This window comes from Homo sapiens, chromosome 20, assembly GCF_000001405.40.
Source record: "Homo sapiens chromosome 20, GRCh38.p14 Primary Assembly".
Lineage (NCBI taxonomy): Eukaryota > Metazoa > Chordata > Mammalia > Primates > Hominidae > Homo > Homo sapiens.
Window position 1 is genome coordinate 50645084 of NC_000020.11, and position 22048 is coordinate 50667131.

General features: G+C 48.9%; 1 protein-coding gene and 1 long non-coding RNA gene across 12 annotated transcripts in view, besides 2 other annotated features; one reads left to right on the plus strand and one right to left on the minus strand.

The window, feature by feature from the left end:
• RIPOR3 (RIPOR family member 3) overlaps positions 1-22048 on the minus strand; it is a 105435-nt gene that overhangs the window by 58976 nt on the left and 24411 nt on the right. The window lies entirely within an intron of this gene.
• Positions 388-15208, plus strand: RIPOR3-AS1 (RIPOR3 antisense RNA 1). Its single transcript, NR_111906.1, has 3 exons — positions 388-410; positions 615-803; positions 14783-15208. It is a non-coding gene; the product is annotated as an RIPOR3 antisense RNA 1 (long non-coding RNA).
• Positions 20810-21310: an enhancer, noted in NCBI's record as "H3K4me1 hESC enhancer chr20:49282430-49282930 (GRCh37/hg19 assembly coordinates)". NCBI's record gives its function as "activates a minimal SCP1, AML or CMV promoter by ChIP-STARR-seq in primed H9 embryonic stem cells {active_cell/tissue: H9 hESC(primed)}" and the evidence as "EXISTENCE:reporter gene assay evidence [ECO:0000049][PMID:30033119]".
• Positions 21311-21811: an enhancer, noted in NCBI's record as "H3K4me1 hESC enhancer chr20:49282931-49283431 (GRCh37/hg19 assembly coordinates)". NCBI's record gives its function as "activates a minimal SCP1, AML or CMV promoter by ChIP-STARR-seq in primed H9 embryonic stem cells {active_cell/tissue: H9 hESC(primed)}" and the evidence as "EXISTENCE:reporter gene assay evidence [ECO:0000049][PMID:30033119]".

Sequence of the window (22048 nt, forward strand, 5' to 3'; positions counted from 1 at the left end):
CGCCTGCCTCAGCCTTCCAAAGTGCTGGGATTACAGGCATGAGCCACTGCGCCTGGCCCCCATTTCTTATTATACAGTAGTTTACAAAAAAATCCCAGCAGCCAGCTCCAGAGAGGCCTTGTTCTGTGGTGTCTAAGGATGGAGCCCAGGCAGGGACGGCCAAAAGCTCGCTACCCCTGCCCAGGAAGGCAGGAGCACCGTTGTGTCCCGTTCCTATCCCTCAAAAATAAATCACAGCCAGCTCATGTCATAGGACAGAGCCTGTTCGCAATCCATCCTGTGTCTGCGGATTCTCCCAGGTCTGTAAGGCAGCAGGGAGATGCGGCCTCTCCCACTCCACCCAACACGTAGCCAGGGCGAGGTGGGGCCGGGGGAGAGGCTGACATTCAAAGGCATCTGAGTGGTAAGAGGTGAGCGAGTGAGGTGAATGGGGACTACGTTAGAAGGACCCTACGTTAGAAGGGTGAGGCGCTAGGGCCATAGCCTAAGGGCACTGGGAACCCTGTGGGCATGCGCAGTTCAAGCCCATCCCCGCTCCCTCCAGCTGCTGTCCATCCCTGCCACACCTGACCATTTGCCTAACCTAGATCCTTCCTGTCTTGCATTTCCTCAAGCATCCGGAGCCCAGGACTGCTGAGTCAACCCTCTGGAATGCCCACAACTCCCCACAGGCCAGCCGGCCTTGGGACTCCCGCACAGCCACGTGAGCCGGTGGAGCCGGGTCTGTTTGCTAGTGGAGGCTGTTAACAGCACGGGAAGTGGTCAAGGGTTCAACAAGAGATGAGCCATCTGGTCCTCCAGAGGTAAACAATTTACAAGAGACACATCAAGCCGGCCTGCTGTTCTGGTTTTTCTTTTGACAGTGAAATATGCAGTTTCTTTTTCATCCTGGTGCCTATTGGAGAGGGAGACTGTTCCAGGCACTCTGACCCCAGCTAAAGCGCCTCCCTGGGGCAGGATCTATGCAGGGAGGCAGAAAAGTCAGATTTTTTTTCACATCTTCTTTGTTCCATTCCCAGGACTGAGCAACTTCATGTATTTATGTATTTATTTATTTATTTATAGACAGGTTCTCACTATGTCGCCCAGGCTGGAGTGCAGTGGTGCGGTCACAGCTCACTGCAACCTCAATGTCCTAGGCTCCAGTGATCCTCCTGCCTCAGCCTCCTGAGTAGCCGGGACCATAGGTGTGTACCACCATGCCAGGGGAATTTTTGTATCTTTGGTTAGAGAAAGGGTTTTGCTGTGATGTTGCCCAGTCTGGTCTCAAACTCCTGAGCTCAAGCGATTCACCCTCCTGGGCCTCCCAAAGTGCTGGGATTACAGGTGGGAGCCACTGTGCGTGGCCCAGGACTGAGCAACTTTAAGTCAGATGGTTAACCTACATCATGAGGAAAGTGGATTTCCTCCCAAAGGAACAGACTTATTTTCTAGAACCCAAAGCCTTGAATTTCAAGAACCTTTAGCCTTAAATCCATTTCCTGTTGGAAGCAGACCCCCTCCTGGTCTCCCCAGGTATTGCAACCCTGCTCTACCAGCCACTATAAATGCCCACACAAAAGGAACAGGGGCTCCATTCCTGATGCTCAGAGTGGAGTCACTAGATTCTCAAGCATATGAGATATGTATGTGGCCTAACAGCCTGAAATAAACAGCTTGTGCTGGGATTGTAATTCTAGAGTTTCCAAAAGTGTTGCAAAATATTCCAGGCAGACACTAAAGTTTGTGTACTACAAGCTGTTTATTAATTAATTTCTTATTTGCCAAACATTCTTGCTTGGGTCTACTGGGAGATGATTTCGTTGGGAATGCATCTCCAATTTTGTAATAAAGATCACCAGGGAAAGAAGGCTTGCTTCATAGGGGCTCATATTACAGGAAATGTGGCTAGCATAGGTAGTTCCCATAAGAAAAAGGACAGTACTAAGTTTTGAGCTCATGTGAAAAAGAAAAGGGGGCCGGGCGTGGTGGCTCACACCTGTAATCCGCACTTTCGGAGGCCGAGGCGGACGGATCACTTGAGGTCAGGAGTTCAAGACCAGCTTGGCCAACATGGCAAAACCCTGTCTCTATTAAAAATACAAAAATTAGCCAGGCGTGGTGGCGGACGCCTGTAATCCCAGCTACTTGGGAGGCTGAGGCAGGAGAATCACTTGAACCCGGGAGGCGGAGGTTGTAGTGAGCCAGGATCGCATCACTGTACTCCAGCCTAGGCGACAAGAGCGAAACTCCATCTCAAAAGAAAAAAAAGAAAAGTGACGTCTGGGGACCAGGATTTTGGGACTCTTTGCAGACATGCCAATAACCTGTGAGATACACACCCACAGACTGACACAGAGGTGAGCAGAGGCCTTGGAGTCAACAGAAGTTCAAGTCTAGCCTTTGCCTCATTCTCTTTTTTTTTTTTTTTTTTTTTTGAGATGGAGTCTTGCTCTGTCACCCAGGCTGGAGTGCAGTGGCGCAATCTCGGCTCACTGCAAGCTCCGCCTCCCGGGTTCACGCCATTCTCCTGCCTCAGCCTCCCAAGTAGCTGGGACTACAGGCGCCCGCTACCATGCCCGGCTAATTTTTTGTATTTTTAGTAGAGACAGGGTTTCACCGTGTTAGCCAGGATGGTCTCGATCTCCTGACCTCGTGATCCACCCGCCTCGGCCTCCCAAAGTGCTGGGATTACAGGCATGAGCCACCGCACCCGGCCACCTCATTCTCACTATGTGACCTTGGACAAGTCACTTATCCTCTTTGAGCCTCCAGTTCCTCATCTATACATTGGAAGCCACTGAAATTATCTTACAGTTACTTTCAGTTGCGAGGACTTGCTCTTTTTCTCTTCATTAAAAGGAAAACACAAAATATAATTTATAGCTTATCCTACCACTTTGTGCTGCTAAGGTTAAAATCCAGGGTAGTGGCCAGGCGCGGTGGCTCATGCCTACAATCCTAGCATTTTGGGAGGCCAAGACGGGTGGATCACCTGAGGTCAGGAGTTTTAGACCAGCCTCACCAACATGGAGAAACCCCATCTCTACTAAAAATATAAAAATTAGCTGGGTGTGTTGGTGGGCACCTGTAATCCCAGCTACTCGGGAGACTGAGGCAGGAGAATTGCCTGAACCTGGGAGGCAGAGGTTGCAGTGAGCTGAGATCATGCCACTGCACTCCAGCCTGGGTGACAATAGCAACACTCCATCTCTAAAAAAAAGAAAGAAAAAAATCCAGGGTACTCTATGGTTTCCTGGGGCTGCTGTAAAAAAAAAAAAAAATACTACAAACTGGGTGGCTTCAAACAAGGGAAACTTATTGTCTTGCAGTTCTGGAGGTTAGAAGTCCAAATCAAGGTGTCGGCAGGGCCATGCTCCCTCTAAAGCAGCGGTCCCCAACCTTTTTGGCACCAGGGACAAGTTTTGTGGAAGACAATTTTTCCACTGACCAGGGTGGGGGTTGGGTGGGTGGTTTTGGGGTGATTCAAGTGCATTACATTCATTGTGCACTTTATTTCTACTACTACATTGTAATATATAATGAAATAATTATACAACTCACATTCCATAATGTGGAATCAGTGGGAGCCCTGAGCTTGTTTTCCTGCAACTAGATGGTCCCATCTGGGGGTGATGGAGACAGTGACAGATCATCAGGCATTAGATTCTCATAAGGAGCATGCAGCCGAGATCCCTCGCATGCGTAGTTCACAATAGGGTTCGTGCTCCTGTGAGAATTGAACGCCTCCACTGATCAGACAGGAGGTAACACAAGCAATGGGGAGTGGTTCTAAATACAGATGAAGCTTCGCTTACCTGCCTGCTGCTAACCTCCTGCTATGTGGCCCAGTTCCTAACAGACCATGGACAAGTACAAGTCCATGGCCCAGGGGTTGGGAACCCTTGCTCTAAAGGATCTAGGAAAGAATCCTTCCTTGCCTCTTCCTAGCTTCTGGTGATGGCTACCAATCCTTGGCATTTCTGGTCTTGTAGCTGCATGACGCCAATCTCTGCTTCTGTTGTCCCATGGTGCTTCCCAGTGTCTCTGTCTTCACAGCTCTTCCTCTTCTTATAAGGATATGACGGTATTGAATTAGAGGCAGGGCACAATGGCTCACACCTGTAATCCCAACACTTTGGGAGGCCAAGATGGACAGATCACCTGAGGTTAGGAGTTGGAGACCAGCCTGGCCAACATGGCGAAACCCCGTCTCTACTAAAAATACAAACATTAGCCAGGGGTGGTGGTGGGTACCTGTAATCCCAGCTACTCGGGAGGCTGAGGCAGGAGAATCGCTCAAACCCAGGAGGCAGAGTTTGTAGTGGGCTGAGATCATGCCATTGCACTCCAACCTGGCTACAGAGCAAGCCATCTCAAAAAAAAGAAAAGATGTAGGCCCCTGGGAAGGATGCCTGGCACACTCAGAGGTGGGACAATGGTGACAGTCCTGACACTTTCCCTCTGGAGAGCATGGACCCCTGGTCTTGGCCATGCAGCCAGGCCTGGCCCAGCCTGCCTGTCCCCCACCCCCACCCACAGGGACTGGGCCCTTCCTGCCCAGGAACTATTCTGATTCTGCAGCCCTCAGGCTTTATTGCTTTTCCTGCTTAATGAGGTGAGGTTCGCTCAGCCCAGTGGCAATTCCTGTAAAAGCCATTTGGATGACCCAATGGGGTGAGTTTACAGGGAAGCGCTCCCTGAGGGCTAGGCTGGCTGGAAGCAGATACTTTGCCCCCTTCCAAGGACGGTAATGAGGTTTGAGGCTTCCAATGGGGGCAGGGGATGATCTGGGCGCCAAAAGCCCTGGCCTGGGGTCAAAAGATCTGGGCTCCAGCCCCAGCCGGGCTAACTAGGCAGTCTCCTGTCTGAGCTGTACTCCCCTCATGGGTGAAATGGGGATACAGGCACATACTTTATAGCCTGCAGTCTGTGTGTAACAGAGAACCATAAGCTGGTGGGTCGGGGAGTGGGGCTGGGGGTTATTTCTCATGGTTCTGGAAGCGAGGAGTTGGAGATCAGGGTGACTGCATGGTAAGGTTCTGGTGAGGGCCCTCTTCCAGGTTGCAGACTATGGTCCTCTCATTTCATCCCCACGTGGAGGGAAGAGGCAAGAGAACACTCTGGAAGTTATAAGAGCACTAATCCCATTAATCCCATTCACCAGGCCTCCACCCTCGAGATCTATTCACCTCCCAAAGGCCCCACCTCCTAATCACAGCACGGGGGTTTGGGTTCAACATAGGAATTTTTTTTTGAGATGGCATCTCACACAGTGTTGCCAGGCTGTAGTGCAGTGGCGCAATCTCTGCTCACTGCAACCTCCACCTCCCGGGCTCAAACAATCCTCCCACCTCAGCCTCCTGAGTAGCTGGGACCACAGGTGTGCACCACCACACCTGGCTAACTTTTTGTACTTTTAGTAGAGACGAGATTTCACCGTGTTGCTCAGATTGGTCTCAAACTCCTGAGCTTAAGTGATTTGCCCACGTTGGCCTCCCAAAGTGTTGGGATTACAGATGTGAGACACCACATCCAACCTCAACATATGAATTTTAGAGTGACCCAAACATTCAGTCCATCACAGTCTCCTGCAGGATTACAGATGTATAATCAGTCTGTAATCCACAAAGTTCTAAGCAAAGGAAAAGAAGTACCAATATCACTATTGCTATTGTTATTATCAGCACCCAAGACCTTCCCCAGTCTCAGTGAGTGGAATATTAAGATGATCCCAAAGACGCTCGACTTCTCTAACCCGTAATACTCACAGGTTCCACCCCTTTGATTGTGGGCAGAACCTGTGAATATTATGATCTGACTGCCATGGTTACCTTATATGACAAAAGGGAGATTAGCCTGGGTGGGCCTGACCTAATCAGAGAGCCCTCAAACAGGACTGGCTTTTTGTTTTTTGTTTTTTTTTTGAGACCGAGTCTCGCTCTGTCACCTAGACTGGAGTGCAGTGGCATGATCTCAGCTCACTGCAACCTCTGCCTCCCGGGTTCAAGCAGTTCTCCTGCCTCAGCCTCCTGTTGGCTCTTACTGGCCAAGGAGATTCAAAGTATGAGAGGGATTCAGCGTGAGAGAGATTTTCCATTGCAGGCTTTGGAGGTGAAGGTGGCCAATACAGGAGGCCTCTAGAAGCTGAAAGCAGCCCCCCAGTGACAGCTAGGAAGGAAATGGGGACCTCAGTCCTATGGCCACACGGAACTGAATGACCTTGGAAGTGGATTTGTCCCCAGATCCTCCAGACAAGAACTCAGCCGGACCAACATCTTGCATTTCAGCCTTGCGATGAGCAGAGAACTCAGCCATGCCAGACTCTGGACCAACACAGCTGTGAGCTCATACATGGATATTGTTTTAAGCTGCTGGGTCTGGGATCATTTGTTACACAGCAATAGAAAACCAATACATACTCTGTCAAGGAAGCCTGAGAATGGAAGGCCCCTACTCAATCTACCCTCCCACTATAGTCTGGTGGTTAGAGACAAGGGCTCTGGAGTCAGATGGAACGGTGTTCGAATCTTGGCAATTCCATCCACTGGCTGTGGAACGTTGTCCACACTCCCTTCCTCACCTCTTATATCCTCGGTTTCCTCATCTGTGAAATAGCAGTGGAAATAAAATGCATGGAAATCATCAGAGCAGGGTATGCATCGTAAGGACACATAGTAATAGCTCAAGAAACACTGTATATGTTAAACATTAGAAACGAGCTGAGAACTAACACCAATGCACCTGTGTTCTTCAATGCACTGCCTACACACCAGAGAAGAGGGGGAGGAGCCCAGATCTGCTGCTCTGGGAGCTACAGGCCAATTAGGGAATCAGGAACCTGAACAGAAAACCACAACTTCAGGGAAAGTAGATGGTACATGTGTTATGTTATTGTGGACATGGCGGGGCAAAGACAAGACCTTAGGTCTTTGAACTCCCCCTCGGAGTCTGGCACAGGCCTGAGTGGAGCTCCCTCCTCAAGACTTCCTTTGCACTGGCTTCCCTGAGGAAGCATTTGCATTTAGGGTTCTGCTGTGGAACCTCTTTCTCTTGATCTACATGAAGCCTGAGGCCAAGGCCTTACACCTGTAAGGGAGGAGGTGGCCCTGGGCCCAGGAAAAGGGTGGGTCCAGTCTCCCAGTTCTGTCCCTGGCATGTACTCTCCCCAGGCCTATCCCACCCCCAAGTCCTCCCAGGCTCCAAACCCTGAGGCCCCACCGACTGTCACTCAAGAAATCACCGAGGCTGGGCATGGTGGTTCATGCCTATAATCCCAGCACTTTGGGAGGCTGGGGCAGGTGAATCACTTGAGGTCAGGAATTCAAGACCAGCCTGGCCAACATGGTGAAACCCCATCTCTACTGAAAATACACAAATTAGCCAGGCGTGGTGGCGGGCGCCTGTAATCCCAGCTACTTGGGAGGCTGAGACAATAGAATCGCTTGAGCCTGGGAGGTGGAGGTTGCAGTGAGCCGAGATTGCAACACGGCACTCCAGCCTGGGCGACAGAGAGAGATTCTGTCTCAAAAAAAAAAAAAAAAAAAAAAAGAAAAGAAAAGAAAAGAAAGAAAGAAAAGAAAAGAAAAAAGAAATCACCAAGCCCTCTCTATACCCATAAGCACAGCCTTGACCGAAGTCCTGACGGCTGAGCATGCAGCTCAAATCCCTGGGGAGATACCACTGCACATACACGAGGGCGGTCGTCATCCAAAAGACAGACCACAGCAAGCGCTGGAGAGGATGTGGGGCAACTGAAACCCTGGTACGCTACTGGTGACATGTAAGAGGGCGCAGCTGCTTTGGAAAACAGCTTGGCAGTTCCTCAAATGGTTAAGTATGAAATTAAGCAAATGGTTAAATGTAAATACGACCCAGCAGTTCCACTCCTAAGTATACATCCAAGAGGAATGTTAACATATGTCCACGCAAAACCCATACACAGACATTCAGAGCAGCATTACTCATAGTAGCCAAGAAGTAAAAACAGCTCAAATATTTATCAGCTGATGAGTGGGTAAACAAAATGTGGGACAGCCATACAAAGGGACACTATAGGGCCATATAAAAGGGACCAAGCCCTGATGCATGCTGTGAGACAGATGAACCTTGAAAACGGTATGCTAAGTGAAAGAAGCCAGAACCAGCAGGCCACAGAAGGTATGGCTCCACGGACAAGCAAGTCCAGAGCAGGCAAATCCAGAGAGACAGAAAGTGGATCAGTCATTGCCAGAAGTTGAGGGAGGGGAGAATGGGAGTCATTACTAATAGGTATGGGGTTTCTTTCTGGGGTAAAACTGCTCTGGATTTAGATAGTGGTGATGGTTGCACAGCTTTGTGAATATGCCAAAAAAAAGAAAAAAACACTAAATTGTATACTTTTTTTTTTTTTTGAGACAGCCTCCCTCTATTACCCAGGCTGGAGTGCAGTGGCACAATCTTGGCTCACTGCAACCTCTGCCTCCTGGGTTCAAGCGATTTTCCTGCCTCAGCCTCCTGAGATTACAGGCGTATGCCACCACACTTGGCTAATTTTTTTTTTTTTCGAGACAGGGTCTCCCTCTGTTGTCCATGCTAGAGTGCAGTGGTGCCATCTTGGCTCACTGAAACCTCTGCCTCCCGGGTTTGAGCAATTCTCCCACCTCAGCCTCCCAAGTAGGTGGGACTACAGGCATGCACCACCCACTTGGCTACTTTTTGAATTTTTTTGTAGAGACAGGGTTTTGCCATGTTGCCCAGGCTGGTCTCAAACTCCTGGAGTCAAACAATCCATCCGCCTCGGATATTTCTCACTGGCATAATCAGTGCTGAAAGATCATTGAAAAGGGGCTTGCATGATCCAGAGGTCACTGTTATTTAATGCGCTCTCCTCATCTCCTGCAGGTTGTGACTTCAATATACCCTCTCATGAGACCTTTCCTGGCCCCTTATCTGTAAGTGTGACCACCGGGACCCCGTCTCCCAATTCCCTCTTCCTGCTTTATTTTTCTCTTTAGCATTTAATACCATCTGACATTCCAAACATTACCTTGTCCTTGTCTGGTGTTTGTCACCCCAACTAGAAGTGCTAGGGGGCAAGTACTAGGAAGCAGGGTTTTTTCTTTTTCTTTCCTTTTTTTTTGAGATGAAATTTCTCTCTTGTCTCCCAGGCTGGAGTACAGTGGCGCAATATCGGTTCACTGCAACCTCCACCTCCCGGGTTCAAGTGATTCTCCTGCCTCAGCCTCCCAAGTAGTTGGCACTACAGGTGCCTGCCATCATGCCCAACTAATTTTTGTATTTTTAGTAGAGATGGGGTTTCACTCCGTTGGCCAGGCTGGTCTCGAACTCCTGACCTCATGACTCTCCCAGGAGGCAGAGTTTTTTTTTTTTTTTTTTTTTTTTTTGAGATGGAGGCTTGCTCTGTCACCCAGGCTGGAGTGCAGTGGCGCAATCTCGGCTCACTGCAAGCTCCCAGGAGGCAGAGTTTTTGTCTGCGTGGTTCACTGCTAAGTCCCCAGCACTAAGAGGACAGGACCTAACACATAGGAGGCACTCAGCAAACATCCATGAACGAATGAATGAATCTGTATCTCCAGTGGCTTTGTCCTCTCTTATATCAGCTTTGTTCCACATCTTACACTTAGGAGGTGATTCAATTAAACATTGCTTTTTGTGTGTGTTTGGTGGGGTTTTTTTGTTTTTTTGTCTTTTTGTTTTTTGAGACAGCATCTCAATCTTTTGCCTAGGCTGGTGTACAGTGGTGCCATCACCACTCACTGCAGCCTCAACTTCCCAAACTCAGGTGATTCTCCCACCTCAACTCCCCGAGTAGCTGGGACTACAGGCACGCACCACCACACCAGCTACTTTTTGTATTTTTAGTAGAGATGGGGTTTCACCATGTTGCCATGGCTGGTCTCAAACTCCTGGCCTCAAGCCATCCATTTGCCCAACTAGGCCCCCCAGAGTGCTGGGATTATGGGCGTGAGCCACTGCACCCGGCCAACCATTGTTGAGTGAGCAAGTAAATGAACTCATCAACGAATTTCTCCCTGGGTAGCGAAGCTCCCGCTTTTTGAGGTAACCCAGACTTTTCATTTGTATGTTTCCTGAGTCCCTGACTGTACATTCTTCCTGCATATTGTCTCCAGGACTAAGAGAATGGAGCCTTTTGCCAAGAAGAGGTTGCGTTCTCAGGCCTCCAGTTTAGATTAAATAGTGGTTTTACAAGGGGAAACAAAGTGACAAACCCCCAGAAGTTGTGGGGAGCTGAGACGGGGTGGGAATAGGGTTCCCCAGGGACAAACTCCTTCTTGTCCCCCTGCCCAGCGCCCCAGGGCACACTGCCCAGTGGGTGAAAGCAGCCAGACACACGGGCTCACTGCAGTTACCAAGCAATCCTAAGTGTATCAAGATGGGCGCGCTGACGACAGCTGCACCGAGTGAATCTGGAATGAATTGGGGGGTTGTTAAGATCGCCGACTTAAGCCTCTTCTCACAGGAAAAATATTTATTTCACTGAGCTCTGCTTTTTGGAAAGCTGCGCCTGTAACAGTCTGCATCGATCTAGCAGAGTTTTGGCTACTGCTGGGTTTTGTCTCCCTCCTGTCTCGGTTAGCGTGGGCTGTGTGTGTGTGTGTGTGTGTGTGTGTGTGTGTGTCCACAGCACACCCTCCCATTATTAAGCAATCAGCCAAAAGACTCAGCCAGGACACTCTGCTCTTCTTTAACCAGAAAAAAGATGAACACGAACTGAGTTCGTGGCATGAGGCACGAGACCTTCATGTTTTATCTTCAAAGATGCCTGCTTGAAACTAGCAATTGTTTCTTTCCCTTTTTATCTAGTAAATTGCTCCCTCTACCTCCTCCCAGTTTGGGAAAAAAATACAAGTATGAAGAAGAAAGTAAAAATCACTCCTATGGTTAGGTTAGGCTTGACTGCAGAATTGTTTCCTTTTTTTTTCTTTTTTTCTTTTTTTTTGAGACGGAGTCTCACTGTTGCCCAGGCTGGAGTGCAGTAGCATGCGATCTTGGCTCACTGCAACCTCCACCTCCTGGGTTCAAGCGATTCTCCTGCCTCAGCCTCCTGAGCAGCTGGGACTACAGGCCCGCATCACCATGCCCGGCTAATTTTTGTATTTTTAGTAGAGACGGGGTTTCACCATGTTGGCCAGGCTGTCCTTTCCTTTTCTACTCTTTGGAGTCGAGGGGCCTGGGTTTGAATCCTAGCTCTGCCACTTGCTGGCTGTGTAACCCTGAGAATCATGTCACCACTTGGAACCTCTGTTTCCTCATCTGTCAAATGGTGTAATAATAGTGCCTGCCTCTTTGATTGTTGGGAGGAGTAAACAAGAGAAAGTATATATAGAGCTTAGTGAAGGTTCAGCAACAATAAATGCAAATGGTACCTATTTTATAGGAGAAATATATACAATTTTTTATCTTCTTTTTCATAAAACAGTATAGCGTATACAGTTTCCTGTTTCACTGCCTCATTTTAGAGGCAGAGTCTTGCTGTGTTGCCCAGGCTGGCCTCAAACTCCTGTCTGTGCTCAAATGATCCTCCTGCCTCAGCCTCCTGAGTAGCTGGGATTACAGGCACCCACCACCATGCCCGGCTAATTTTTGTACTTTTAGTAGAGACGGGGTTTCATCGTGTTGGTCAGGCTGGTCTCGAACTCCTGACCTCATGATCCGCCCACCTCGGCCTCCCAAAGTGCTGGGATTACAGGCGTGAGCTACCGTGCCCGGCCAACTCACAAGCATTTCTAATGACTGCAAAATAGTCCATTGGGGGCCCATCCCTACATTAGTTTTTAAACCGTTTCCTATGGATGGAAATAGAAGTTGCTTCCGAAATATTATAAAGATTGCTGTGATAAACACCTCCAGACTCAAATCTTGGTCTATGTTTGAGGCTCTGTCTTTAGGATGAATTCTCAGAAGTTAAATTGTTGGTCAAATAGTATGATCACTTCCAAGAGCCTTGATATACCATACTTAGCACTGCAAGTTGCTTTCGAGAAAGATTACCTACAGATGTGTATGAGAGAACCCTGTGGCCAAGCGAGGTGGCTCATGCCTATAGTCCCAACACTTTGGGAGGCCAAGGTGGGAGGATCACTTGAGCCCAGGAGTTCAAGACCAGCCTTGGCAACATAGTGAGACCCCATCTCTCCACACACACAAAGAAAGAGAGAGGCTGGGCATGGTGGTTCACACCTATAATCCTAGCACTTTAGGAGACCTAGGCAGGTGGATCACTTGAGGTCAGGAGTTCGAGACCAGCCTGGCCAACATGGCAAAACCTCATCTCTACTACAGATACAAAAATTAGCCAGGCCTGGTGGCATGTGCCTGTAATCCCAGCTACTTGGGAGGCTGAGGCAGGAGAATTGCTTGAACCTGGGAGGTGGAGGTTGCAGTGAGCTGAGATCACACCACTGCACTTTAGTCTGGGCAACAGAGTGAGACTCTTCTCAGAAAAAAAAAGAGAGAAAGAGAGAGAGAACCCATCTTACCACATCCCAGCTGCATTGAGGATTATTACCTTTTAGTTGTTGTTAATTTGACAGGCAAAATGACATCTCATTCTTAAATCTGCATTAAAAAAATTTCACCCAGTATTTTTCTAATACTAGTTTTATTGGCTACAATGTGTTGAGTGTTTACTACATGCCAAGCATAGGGTAAATGTCTTTTACTTTTTTTTTTTTTTTTTTTTTTGAGAGACAGGGTCTTGCCTGTTGCCCAGGCTGGAGTGCAGTGATGCGATCATACCTCACTACAGCCTTGAACTCCTGGGCTCAAGGGATCTTTCTGCATCAGCCTCTCTCTTAAGTAGCTAGGACTCCAGGTGCACCACCATGCCTGGCTAATTTTTTTTTATTTTTATTTTTTTGTAGTAACAGGGCCTCGGTATATTGCCCAGGCTGGTCTCAAACTCCTGGGCTCAAGTGCTCCTCCTACCTCGGCCTCCCAAAGTACTGGGATTACAGGTGTGAGACACCATACCCAGCCTCCATAAAATGTTTTAATCAAACTTCTGGGTATGTACCCAAAAGAAGCGAAAGCAGGGACTCTAACAAATATTTGTACATCTATATTCATAGCCACATTATTCATCATAGCAAAAAGGTGCAAGAGACCCAAATGTCCATTGACAGATGAATGGATAAACAAAATGTGGTGTGTATATATGCAATGAGATATTATTCAGCCTTAAAAAGGAAGAAAATGTTGACCCATACGACAACATGGATGAACCATGAAGACATTATGATAAGAAAATATGCCCATCACACAAGGACAAGTGATGTATGATCCTTTTATATGAGGTTCCTAGAATACTCAAATTCAGAGACAGAAATCAGAATGGTTGGACTGAGCGAGGTGGCTCACACCTGTAATCCCAGCACTTTGGGAGACCACGGTGGGAGGATCGCTCGAGCCCAGGAGTTTGAGACCAGCCTGGACAACAGAGTGAGATCCTATCTCTACAAAATAAAACTTTTTAAAAATTAGCCAGGTGTGGTGGTATATGCCTACTACTCAGGAGGCTGAGGTGGGAGGATTGATTAGACTCAAGAGATCAAGGTTACAGTGAGCTGTAATTGCCCCACTGCACTGCAGCCTGGGAAACAGAGCGAGATTCTGTCTCAAAAAAAAAAAATTATAATCAATCTTTACATGTTATTTTATAAGATGTTATTATTACCCTCCAGCCTTCTTTAAAAGATGATGAAACTAAGGCTCAGAGAGATGAAACACGTTCCTAGAGTCACATAGCTTATAAATGGTGAAGACAGGTTTAGATGCCAGGTCTTACTCTCCAAGGCTACGTTATCCTGCAAATTCTGGTGGACCTGGGAGGTAAAGGGGAAATACAATCAAGCTCTAGGTGGCAGATGGAGTTAGCAAGTACCCAGTGCCAAACGGAACTGTTGGCCCTGAGAGCTCAGAGTTCAGTTCTAAATTTATTCTCTCTGACCTTATTGTGGATTCTAAATTTGGCCAAACAAGTTCTTCCAGACCGATTAGTGACGTGGATACATTGTTTTGAAGATAAAACCCTTTTCCTGGTATGAAAGAAAAAAAATAATAATGCAGCATTTGCTTGCAGAAGCCACCCTGCCGCTGGTTAACAGCCATCTGAAAATGATTCTGGGTTTTCCACCTGATGGTGGACACATGTGCTTGTTGGCCGATTTCTTGGGGACAGTGATTAAAACCATTTCCTGAACCGAAGTCTGAATTTCTCCTCCTGAATGAACCAGAAACAAAACATCAGGAAATATCCAGGCATGAAAATTCTAACCAGGGCCGGGTGCGGTGGCTCACAACTGTAATCCCAGCACTTTGGGAGGCTGAAGGGGGTGGATCACCTGAGGTCAGGAGTTTGAGACCAGACTGGTTAACATGACAAAACCCCATCTCTACTAAAAATACAAAAATTAGCCAGGCGTGGTGGCAGGCACCTGTAATCCCAGCTACTCGGGAGGCTGAGGCGGAAGAATCACTTGAACCCTGGAAGCAGAGGTTGCAGTGAGCCGAGATCACACCATTGCACTCCAGCCTAGGTGACAAGAGCGAAACTCCGTCTCAAAAAAAAAAAAAAAAAAAAATTCTAACCAGAACCAAACTTAAAATTCTCCCAAAATTACAAATTAAGACCAAAATAGGCCTCTTTGGGTGGTTTCCAGGCCAGGGAGGAGTTATGGGGTCCTCGGATAATCACCAGCTGAGTCCTGACTTCTCTGGGAAGGTATTGGGGTGACTGACCTGTTTGTGACCCCTTCTCAGACACCCTATCTCCAATCAGGTGGAGGAGGCACGTGACCCACATGGTCTGGCCACTGATGACTGAACAAGCTATGGACACCGGACCCCGGAGAGACCATTCACTCACTGGCCACGAACATGAGTTCAGATACATGCCCCAAAAGGATGAGCCTGGGTACTGGATTCCCTCCCTCAGAAACGTGAATCAAGAGACACAGGATGTTCCTGTTGGTCCAGATACTTGAGCTAAAAGGTGATGGATACCTGGATGTGGGGTGGTCATTCTGGGGAGTACGTCCATATAGAAAGAGGAGCAGGTGCTGTGGGATTCTGGATCCCAGTGATAGAGCTAAGTGGCTGGATCAAGCTTCACCTGAAACCCACTCTACTTGTCTTAGTCCATTTTGTGTTGCTATAAAAGAATACCTGCAACTGGGTAATGTATAAAGAAAAGAGACTTATTTCATTTTATAGCTCTGCAGTCTGAGACATTTAAAGGGATGGCCTTGACTTCTGGCAAGGGCTTGCACGTTGCATCACCACACGCAGGAAAAGGGAAAACAGAAGGGAGACTGCAAAAAAGGGGAAAACCTGAAGGTCATCATAGCTTTATAATAACCCACTCTCACAGCAATGAGTTAGATGGAGAACCAATTCAGTCTCACGAGAGTGACAGCAAGAACTCACTCACTGGTGAGAGGGTAGCACTTCCAAGCCATTCATGAGGGATTCACCTCCATAGCCCAACACCTCCCACTAGGCCCCGCCTCCCAACACTGCCACAGTGGAGATCAAATTGCAACATGAGTTTTGGTGGAGACAAACACCCCCTATCCAAATCACAGCACTACCCCCGAACTTTCCATTACACGAACCAAAGAATCTTCCTTTAAATTAGTGTCATTGGGTTTTCTGGGATTTACCTTTTTTTTTTTTTTTTTTTTTTTGAGACAGGGTCTTGCTCTGTCACCCAGGCTAGAGTGTAGTGGCACAAACACAGCTCACTGTAGGCTCGACCTCCTGGGCTCAAGGGATCCTCCCACCTCAGCACCCCCCACCTATGCCCTCAAAGTAGCTGGAACTACAGGAACCACCACACCTGGCTAATTAAAAAAAAAAAATTTTGTAGAGGCCGGGTGCGGTGTCTCATGCCTGTAATCCCAGCACTTTGGGAGGCCGAGGTGAGTGGATCACCTGAGGTCAGGAGTACAAGACCAACCTGACCAACATGGTGAAAACCTGTCTCTATTAAAAATACAAAAATTAGCTGGGCGTGGTGGCACATGCCTGTAATCCCAGCTACTCGGGAGGCTGAGGCAGGAGAATCGCTTGAACGCGGGAGGCGGAGGTTGCAGTGAGCCAAAATCACGCCACTGCACTCCAGCCTGGGCAACAGAACGAGACTGTCTTAAAAAATAAAAAAAAAAATTGTAGGGACACAGTTTCACTATGTTGCCCAGGCCAGTCTTCAACTCCTGGGCTTAAGCAATCCTCCTGTCTTTACCTCCCAAAGTGCTGGGATTACAGGCATGAGCCACCACACCCAGCCTAACATGTTTTTAATAACCAAAAGAAAATAAACATCTCCATAGCCTTGTGACACATCCTTTTTTAACCTGAAATTGGTAGAGTAGGTTTCTGATTCATAGAACCCAAACAAACATTCCTCCCTAAAGCAGGCAGAGGCTCTTTGGGAGAGTTTACTTTCAAAACAGTGTCCCTGCAAGTCCCAAGTGACAAGTTCCCCTTTCCTGGTCTGAAGCATTCTGAGGAGAGGCAAAGAGGTTAAGGCTTAGCTGCAGGAACACGCTGTCCCCACGACAACCCCTTCTCAGCCTCGGAACTGCTGTTATCAGAGTTGTGTTGTCTCTTGAAGGTCCGGACAAAGGGTGAAGCCAGGACTCCTGAGTCTAAAGGGCAGGTCGGGGCCTGGGAGAGAAGGGGAAGCTGGCCTGGGGCAGAGATATGTTTTCCATTTCCCCTGGGGTCCCGCGCAGGACAGCTGCTGTCCATAGCCAGTTCAGCCAACCGTGGGAGGAATCACATTCACTCGACAGGCAGGCAGTGGCGGCACTGGGATTTGAACATGGGGCTGATGGGCTCCAGGCGTGGCACCTGTGCCACTACAGTGCGGGGAAGCTCTGACTGCTGCAGCCTCCGTTGTCGCCACATCTGCCCTCGAATTTCCCTTCCAGCTGGTTCTGCAATCAGCAGCCCCTCCAGACATCCCTGGGAGGCTCCAAGGAGCTGACTCCTGATGAGGAAAAGGATCAGCCGCAGACTCACTCCTCCTCCAGCCACTTCCAGACCCACGGGAGGCGTGGGTGTGACCCAGACTACCTGGGAGCATCTGCTTTTGTCTTTATCCAGGGCAGGACCCTCTGAAGGAGGAGCCCTCAGAGAAGAAGGGAAAAGCCAAAAGGAATTAAAAGCCAATTTCCAAATGGAAATAAATAAGCAGTCATAATTGGCCACATTGGTGAAATTGGGCACTAAGGGCCAGGCAATGGGCTGTGGGATAATGTCACTTGAGGCTTACGGCCACGCTCAGAGGAAGGTGCTGAGGTCCAGGGAGGTTCAGGCAGGTGACATGACTCACCCAGAGCCACTGGCTGGAGAGTGGCAGGGCTAGCTTGGAGCCCAGGTGGTGGACTTCATAGGTGCAGCCGTGACTGCTGTCATCCCTCCCATGGGGAGTTGTTGCAGAGAGTGAGACACAGCGCCCTAAGCTATTTCTCCATCTGGTGTGCCTGGATGCCTCTGCCCACCCAGGACCCTCCTCTCGGGTGGCCCACCACTGCCCTTCCATCACAGTTCATACCTTCTCTCGTGGACCCACAGGGGTGTCCACTGGACCAGGACCCCAGGGAGGATCCCAGTCCTGGCCCCACCACTCTCTGGCTGGTGACACGGGGGAAGTCAATTCTTTCCAAGCCTCAGCTTTCTCACCTGTACAATGGGAGTTTGTGCTAGACAAGAAGTTTTCAGGACGGACACAGTGGCTCACGCCTGTAATCCCAACACTTGGGGAGGCCGAGGCGGGTGGGTCACTTGAGGTCAGGAGTTCGAGACCAGCCTGGCCAACATGGTGAAACCTCATCTCTACTAAAAATATAAAAATTAGCCAGATTGTCATAGCGCATGCCTGTAGTCCCAGTTACTCGGGAGACTGAAGCCAGGAGAATCACTTGAACCGGGGAGGTGGAGGTTGCAGTGGGCCAAGATCTCACCACTGTACTCCAGCCCGGGTGACAGAGAGAGACTGTCTCAAAAAAAAAAAAAAAAAAAAAAGTTTTCAAACTGCTGACTGCACCTGTTTGTAGGCCCTGAGCTCAACTGAGTGAGTCACACAGGTATTCACTGACGTGATTCTGCCTCCAAGGCCACATTTTCTCCAGTGCACCTCTGTCCTTCAGCAAGTGACCTGAGGCTGGGACTGCCACATGCTGCCTCCCATCAGCACCTTACCCAGACCTACTGCTGGCTACAACGTGCTTAATGATTGTCAGGTGGCTCACATACCCTGTTCTGTTCGGCTTCACAGTGTCTGCCAGCCCGTGGAGTATGGCACAGTGGCTACTAGCCAGGGTCAGGCAGTGCGACTCCACCTCTCCAAGCGCCCCAGTGCAGCGTCTGATCATAGGGAATAACTCTACCTGCTTCACAGGACTATTCTGTGAATACTAATTAGGATAACATATGTGAAGGTCTTGGCGTTGTGAGCACATGAGCCCAAGGTCAGCTCCCTAAAATGATGAAGTTCATATCACAAGAGGCCCCTAGAGGTCAGGACAGCCTTTCGGTACCTTTCTATGGCAAACAAGCGGCTGGTTCTCTGCCACCTATTTTCTCCCCTTCATTGGGCAAGACTGAGCTGGCAGAATAATGGCCACATCAGTATTTACTCTCTACTTTCTGGCTTCCCTAGATTGGTGCCAGCCATTTGTCCCCCCATCCAAGACAACCCTGATCCCCATCCCCAGAAGGAAAACACCTCACCTCTCTCACAATTTGAGAATGGCTGTCAACTCGAGCACATTATTAGATTTAATTGTATCTAATACTTGAATACCTAATATATTACTTTCTCTCTCTCTCTCTTTTTTTTTTTTTTTTTTGAGATGGAGTTTCATTCTTATTCCCCAGGCTGGAGTGCAATGGCGTGGTCTCGGCTCACTGCAAACTCCGCCTCCCGGCTTCAAGCGATTCTCCTGCCTCAGCCTCCCGACTTGCTGGGATTACAGGCTCTCGCCACTACACCTGGCTAATTTCTGTATTTTTAGTAGAGACGGGGTTTCACCATGTTGGTCAGGCTGGTCTCGAACTCCTGGCTTCAGGTGATCCACCTGCCTCGACCTCCCAAAGTGCTGGCACTATAGGCGTGAGCCACCGCACCTGGCCCCAATATATTACTTTCAAGGACAAAAACTGCAATTACTTTTGCACCAACCTAATATTTAAGGTAGGACACCGTGAAGCCCAGTGAGATCTCTGTGGTGGACAAACAGCGTGGCTGCTAGGCTGTGAGCCCTCCCGCCTGTCTGCTCTCCATGCTGTGCGCCACTCCTGAGAGCTGGGTCAGCAGTCGCACTGTTGGCTTTGCTCTGACCTCGAGTCTATTTCTTTTCCATGTGTGTGTGCAGCCGCTGCCTGGAGTGGAAATCTCCACTGAGGGACAGACCTTCTTTCAAGGCTCACATCAGGCAGGATCCCACGGGAAAGGGGGCTGGCTGAGTCAGGAGGGTTCTCTGCCTGAGTTCCCGTGTGACATTGGGCAAATCACTCAACGCTCAGAGCTGCGCATTTTTATCTCCATCTGCTTGGAGCAGGAATTGCAAAGAGTTTCAGCTCAGGTTCCAACGCCAAGGTGGGAGATATTGGTTGCTTTGGGTATAGTGTTGAGATAGATTCTGAGGCTGTGTATGGGCTCACTAGGAAAGGGTGCTGTGTCTGCCATGAAGTGGGAAATCGGTGGGGGAAGAAAAAAGAAACCCGGCTGGGCACGGTGGCTCACACCTGTAATCCCAACACTTTGGGAGGCCGGGGCAGGAGGATCACCTGAGGTTAGGAGTTTGAGACCAGCCTGGCCAACATGGCAAAAACTTGTCTCTACTAAAAATACAAAAATTAGCCAGGCATGGTGGCGCATGCCTGTAATCCCAGCTACCTGGGAGGCTGAAACAGGAGAATCACTTGAACCCAGGAGGCAGAGATTGCAGTGAGCCAAGATCATGCCACTGCATTCCAGCCTGGGTGACAGAGCGAGACCCTGTCTCAAAAATAAAACCCAAAAAACAAAACAAAACAAACAAAAAAACCCCATGGTGCTGGCCGGGTGCGGTGGCTCACGCCTGTAATCCCAGCCTTTTGGGAGGCTGAGGCAGGAGGATCACTTGAGCCCTAGAGTTCAAGACCAGCTTGAGCAACATGGCAAAACCCTGACTCTACTAAAAATACCAAAAAAAAAAAAAAAATGCTGGACGTGGTGATGTGTGACTGTGGTCCCAGCTACTCAGGAGGCTGAGGCAAGAAGATTGCTGGAGCCTAGGCCTGTCTGGCTAACTTGGCTCTACCTTGGCTCAGAGCCCCCTCTTCCTTTTTTTTTTTTTTTTTGAGATGGAGTCTCGCCCTGTCGCCCAGGCTGGAGGGCAGTGGTGTGATCTCGGCTCTCCGCAACCTCCGCCTCCCGGGTTCAAGCAATTCTCCTGCCTCAGCCTCCTGAGTAGCTGGGATTACAGGCACGCACCACGACACTGGGCTAATTTTTTGTATCTTTAGTAGAGATGGGGTTTCCTCATGTTGGCCAGGCTGGTCTCGAACTCCTGACCTTGTGATCCACCCGCCTTGGCCTCCCAAAGTGCTGGGACTACAGGCATGAGCCACTGTGCCTGCCGGGTGGGTTTCTTATGGCGAATGATCCCACACCACTTTTCAGTGCACGTAGTTACATGGAGTAGAACACAGACAGTCACACCTCCACGTTCTTTTGGCCACCATGACTGGTTCAACCAAGGAATCTGCTCCAAGCTAGGTGAAGGAAAATCAGCCCTAAGGCCCCCCGTCGCCACGCACCTCACTGTATCCAGCTATACCTAAAGCCAAACCGAATCCCAGACATCTAAATTTTATGAGCCAGTAAATTCCCTTCTTTGCTTAAGCCAGTATAAATCAGGGTCCCATCCCTTGTAATGCTGAGTCCCAAGGCCCAGACTCTGGGCCTTTCGTTTTTCCATTCAGGCCCCAGAATGAAGACCAAGGAAGGGTTTATTAACATGACAGTGAACATCTAGGGCCTTATATACATTTTTCTTCAATTCAGCCAAGACAAGAGGCCTAGAATACAGAGAAAGGACACCCATTTCTTTTCTTTTCTTTTCTTTTCTTTTCTTTTCTTTTCTTTTTTGAGACGGAGTCACGCTCTGTTGCCCAGAGTCACGCTCTGTTGCTGGAGTGCAGTGGCGCAATCTCGGCTCACCGCAATCTCCGTCTCCCGGGTTCAAGCAATTCTCCTGCTTCAGCCTCCCAAGTAGCTGGGACTACAGGTGCCTGCCACTACACCCAGCTAAATTTTGTATTTTTAGTAGAGATGGGGTTTCGCCTGTTGCTCAGGCTGGTCTCGAATTCCTGACCTCAGGTGATCCACCTGCCCCGACCTCTGAAAGTGCTGGGATTACAGGCGTGAGTCACCACGCCCAGCCTAGGACACCCATTTCTTTGTTTGTTTTGTTTGTTTTTTGTTGTTGTTTGTTGTTTTTTTGAGACGGCGTCTCACTCTGTTGCCTAGGCTGGAGTGCGGTGGTGCCATCTCAGCTCACTGCAACCTCTGCTGGGTTCAAGCGATTCTCCCTCCTCAGCCTCCCAAGTAGCTGGGACTACAGGCGTGTGCCACCATGCCCAGCTAATTTTTGTATTTTTTGTAGCAATGGGGTTTCACCATGTTGGCCAGGCTGGTCTCTAACTCCTGGCCTCAAGTGATCCACTGCCTTAGTCTCCCAAAGTGCTGGGATTACAGGCGTGAGTCACCGCGACCAGCCTAGGACACCTATTTCTTCAAACATAGGAAGAAACATCTTATCTGCATGATCCCTCCTGGGGAGCTATCTTACGGTCTTATGTGATAAGGTGACCTCTCCTTTGGGTGAGTGGAGTAAAAAAGCGGGCGAGGTATCTGGAATATGCTTCTATCCCTCCTAACCTCCCCTACAAACAAAGCTTTCCTGAATGCCTTGTCCTTAGCTTCCTGGACTCTGAACCTAGCTTGGCTAAATTTTCTTTTTAAAGCATCAGCATAAATCATGAATACCTT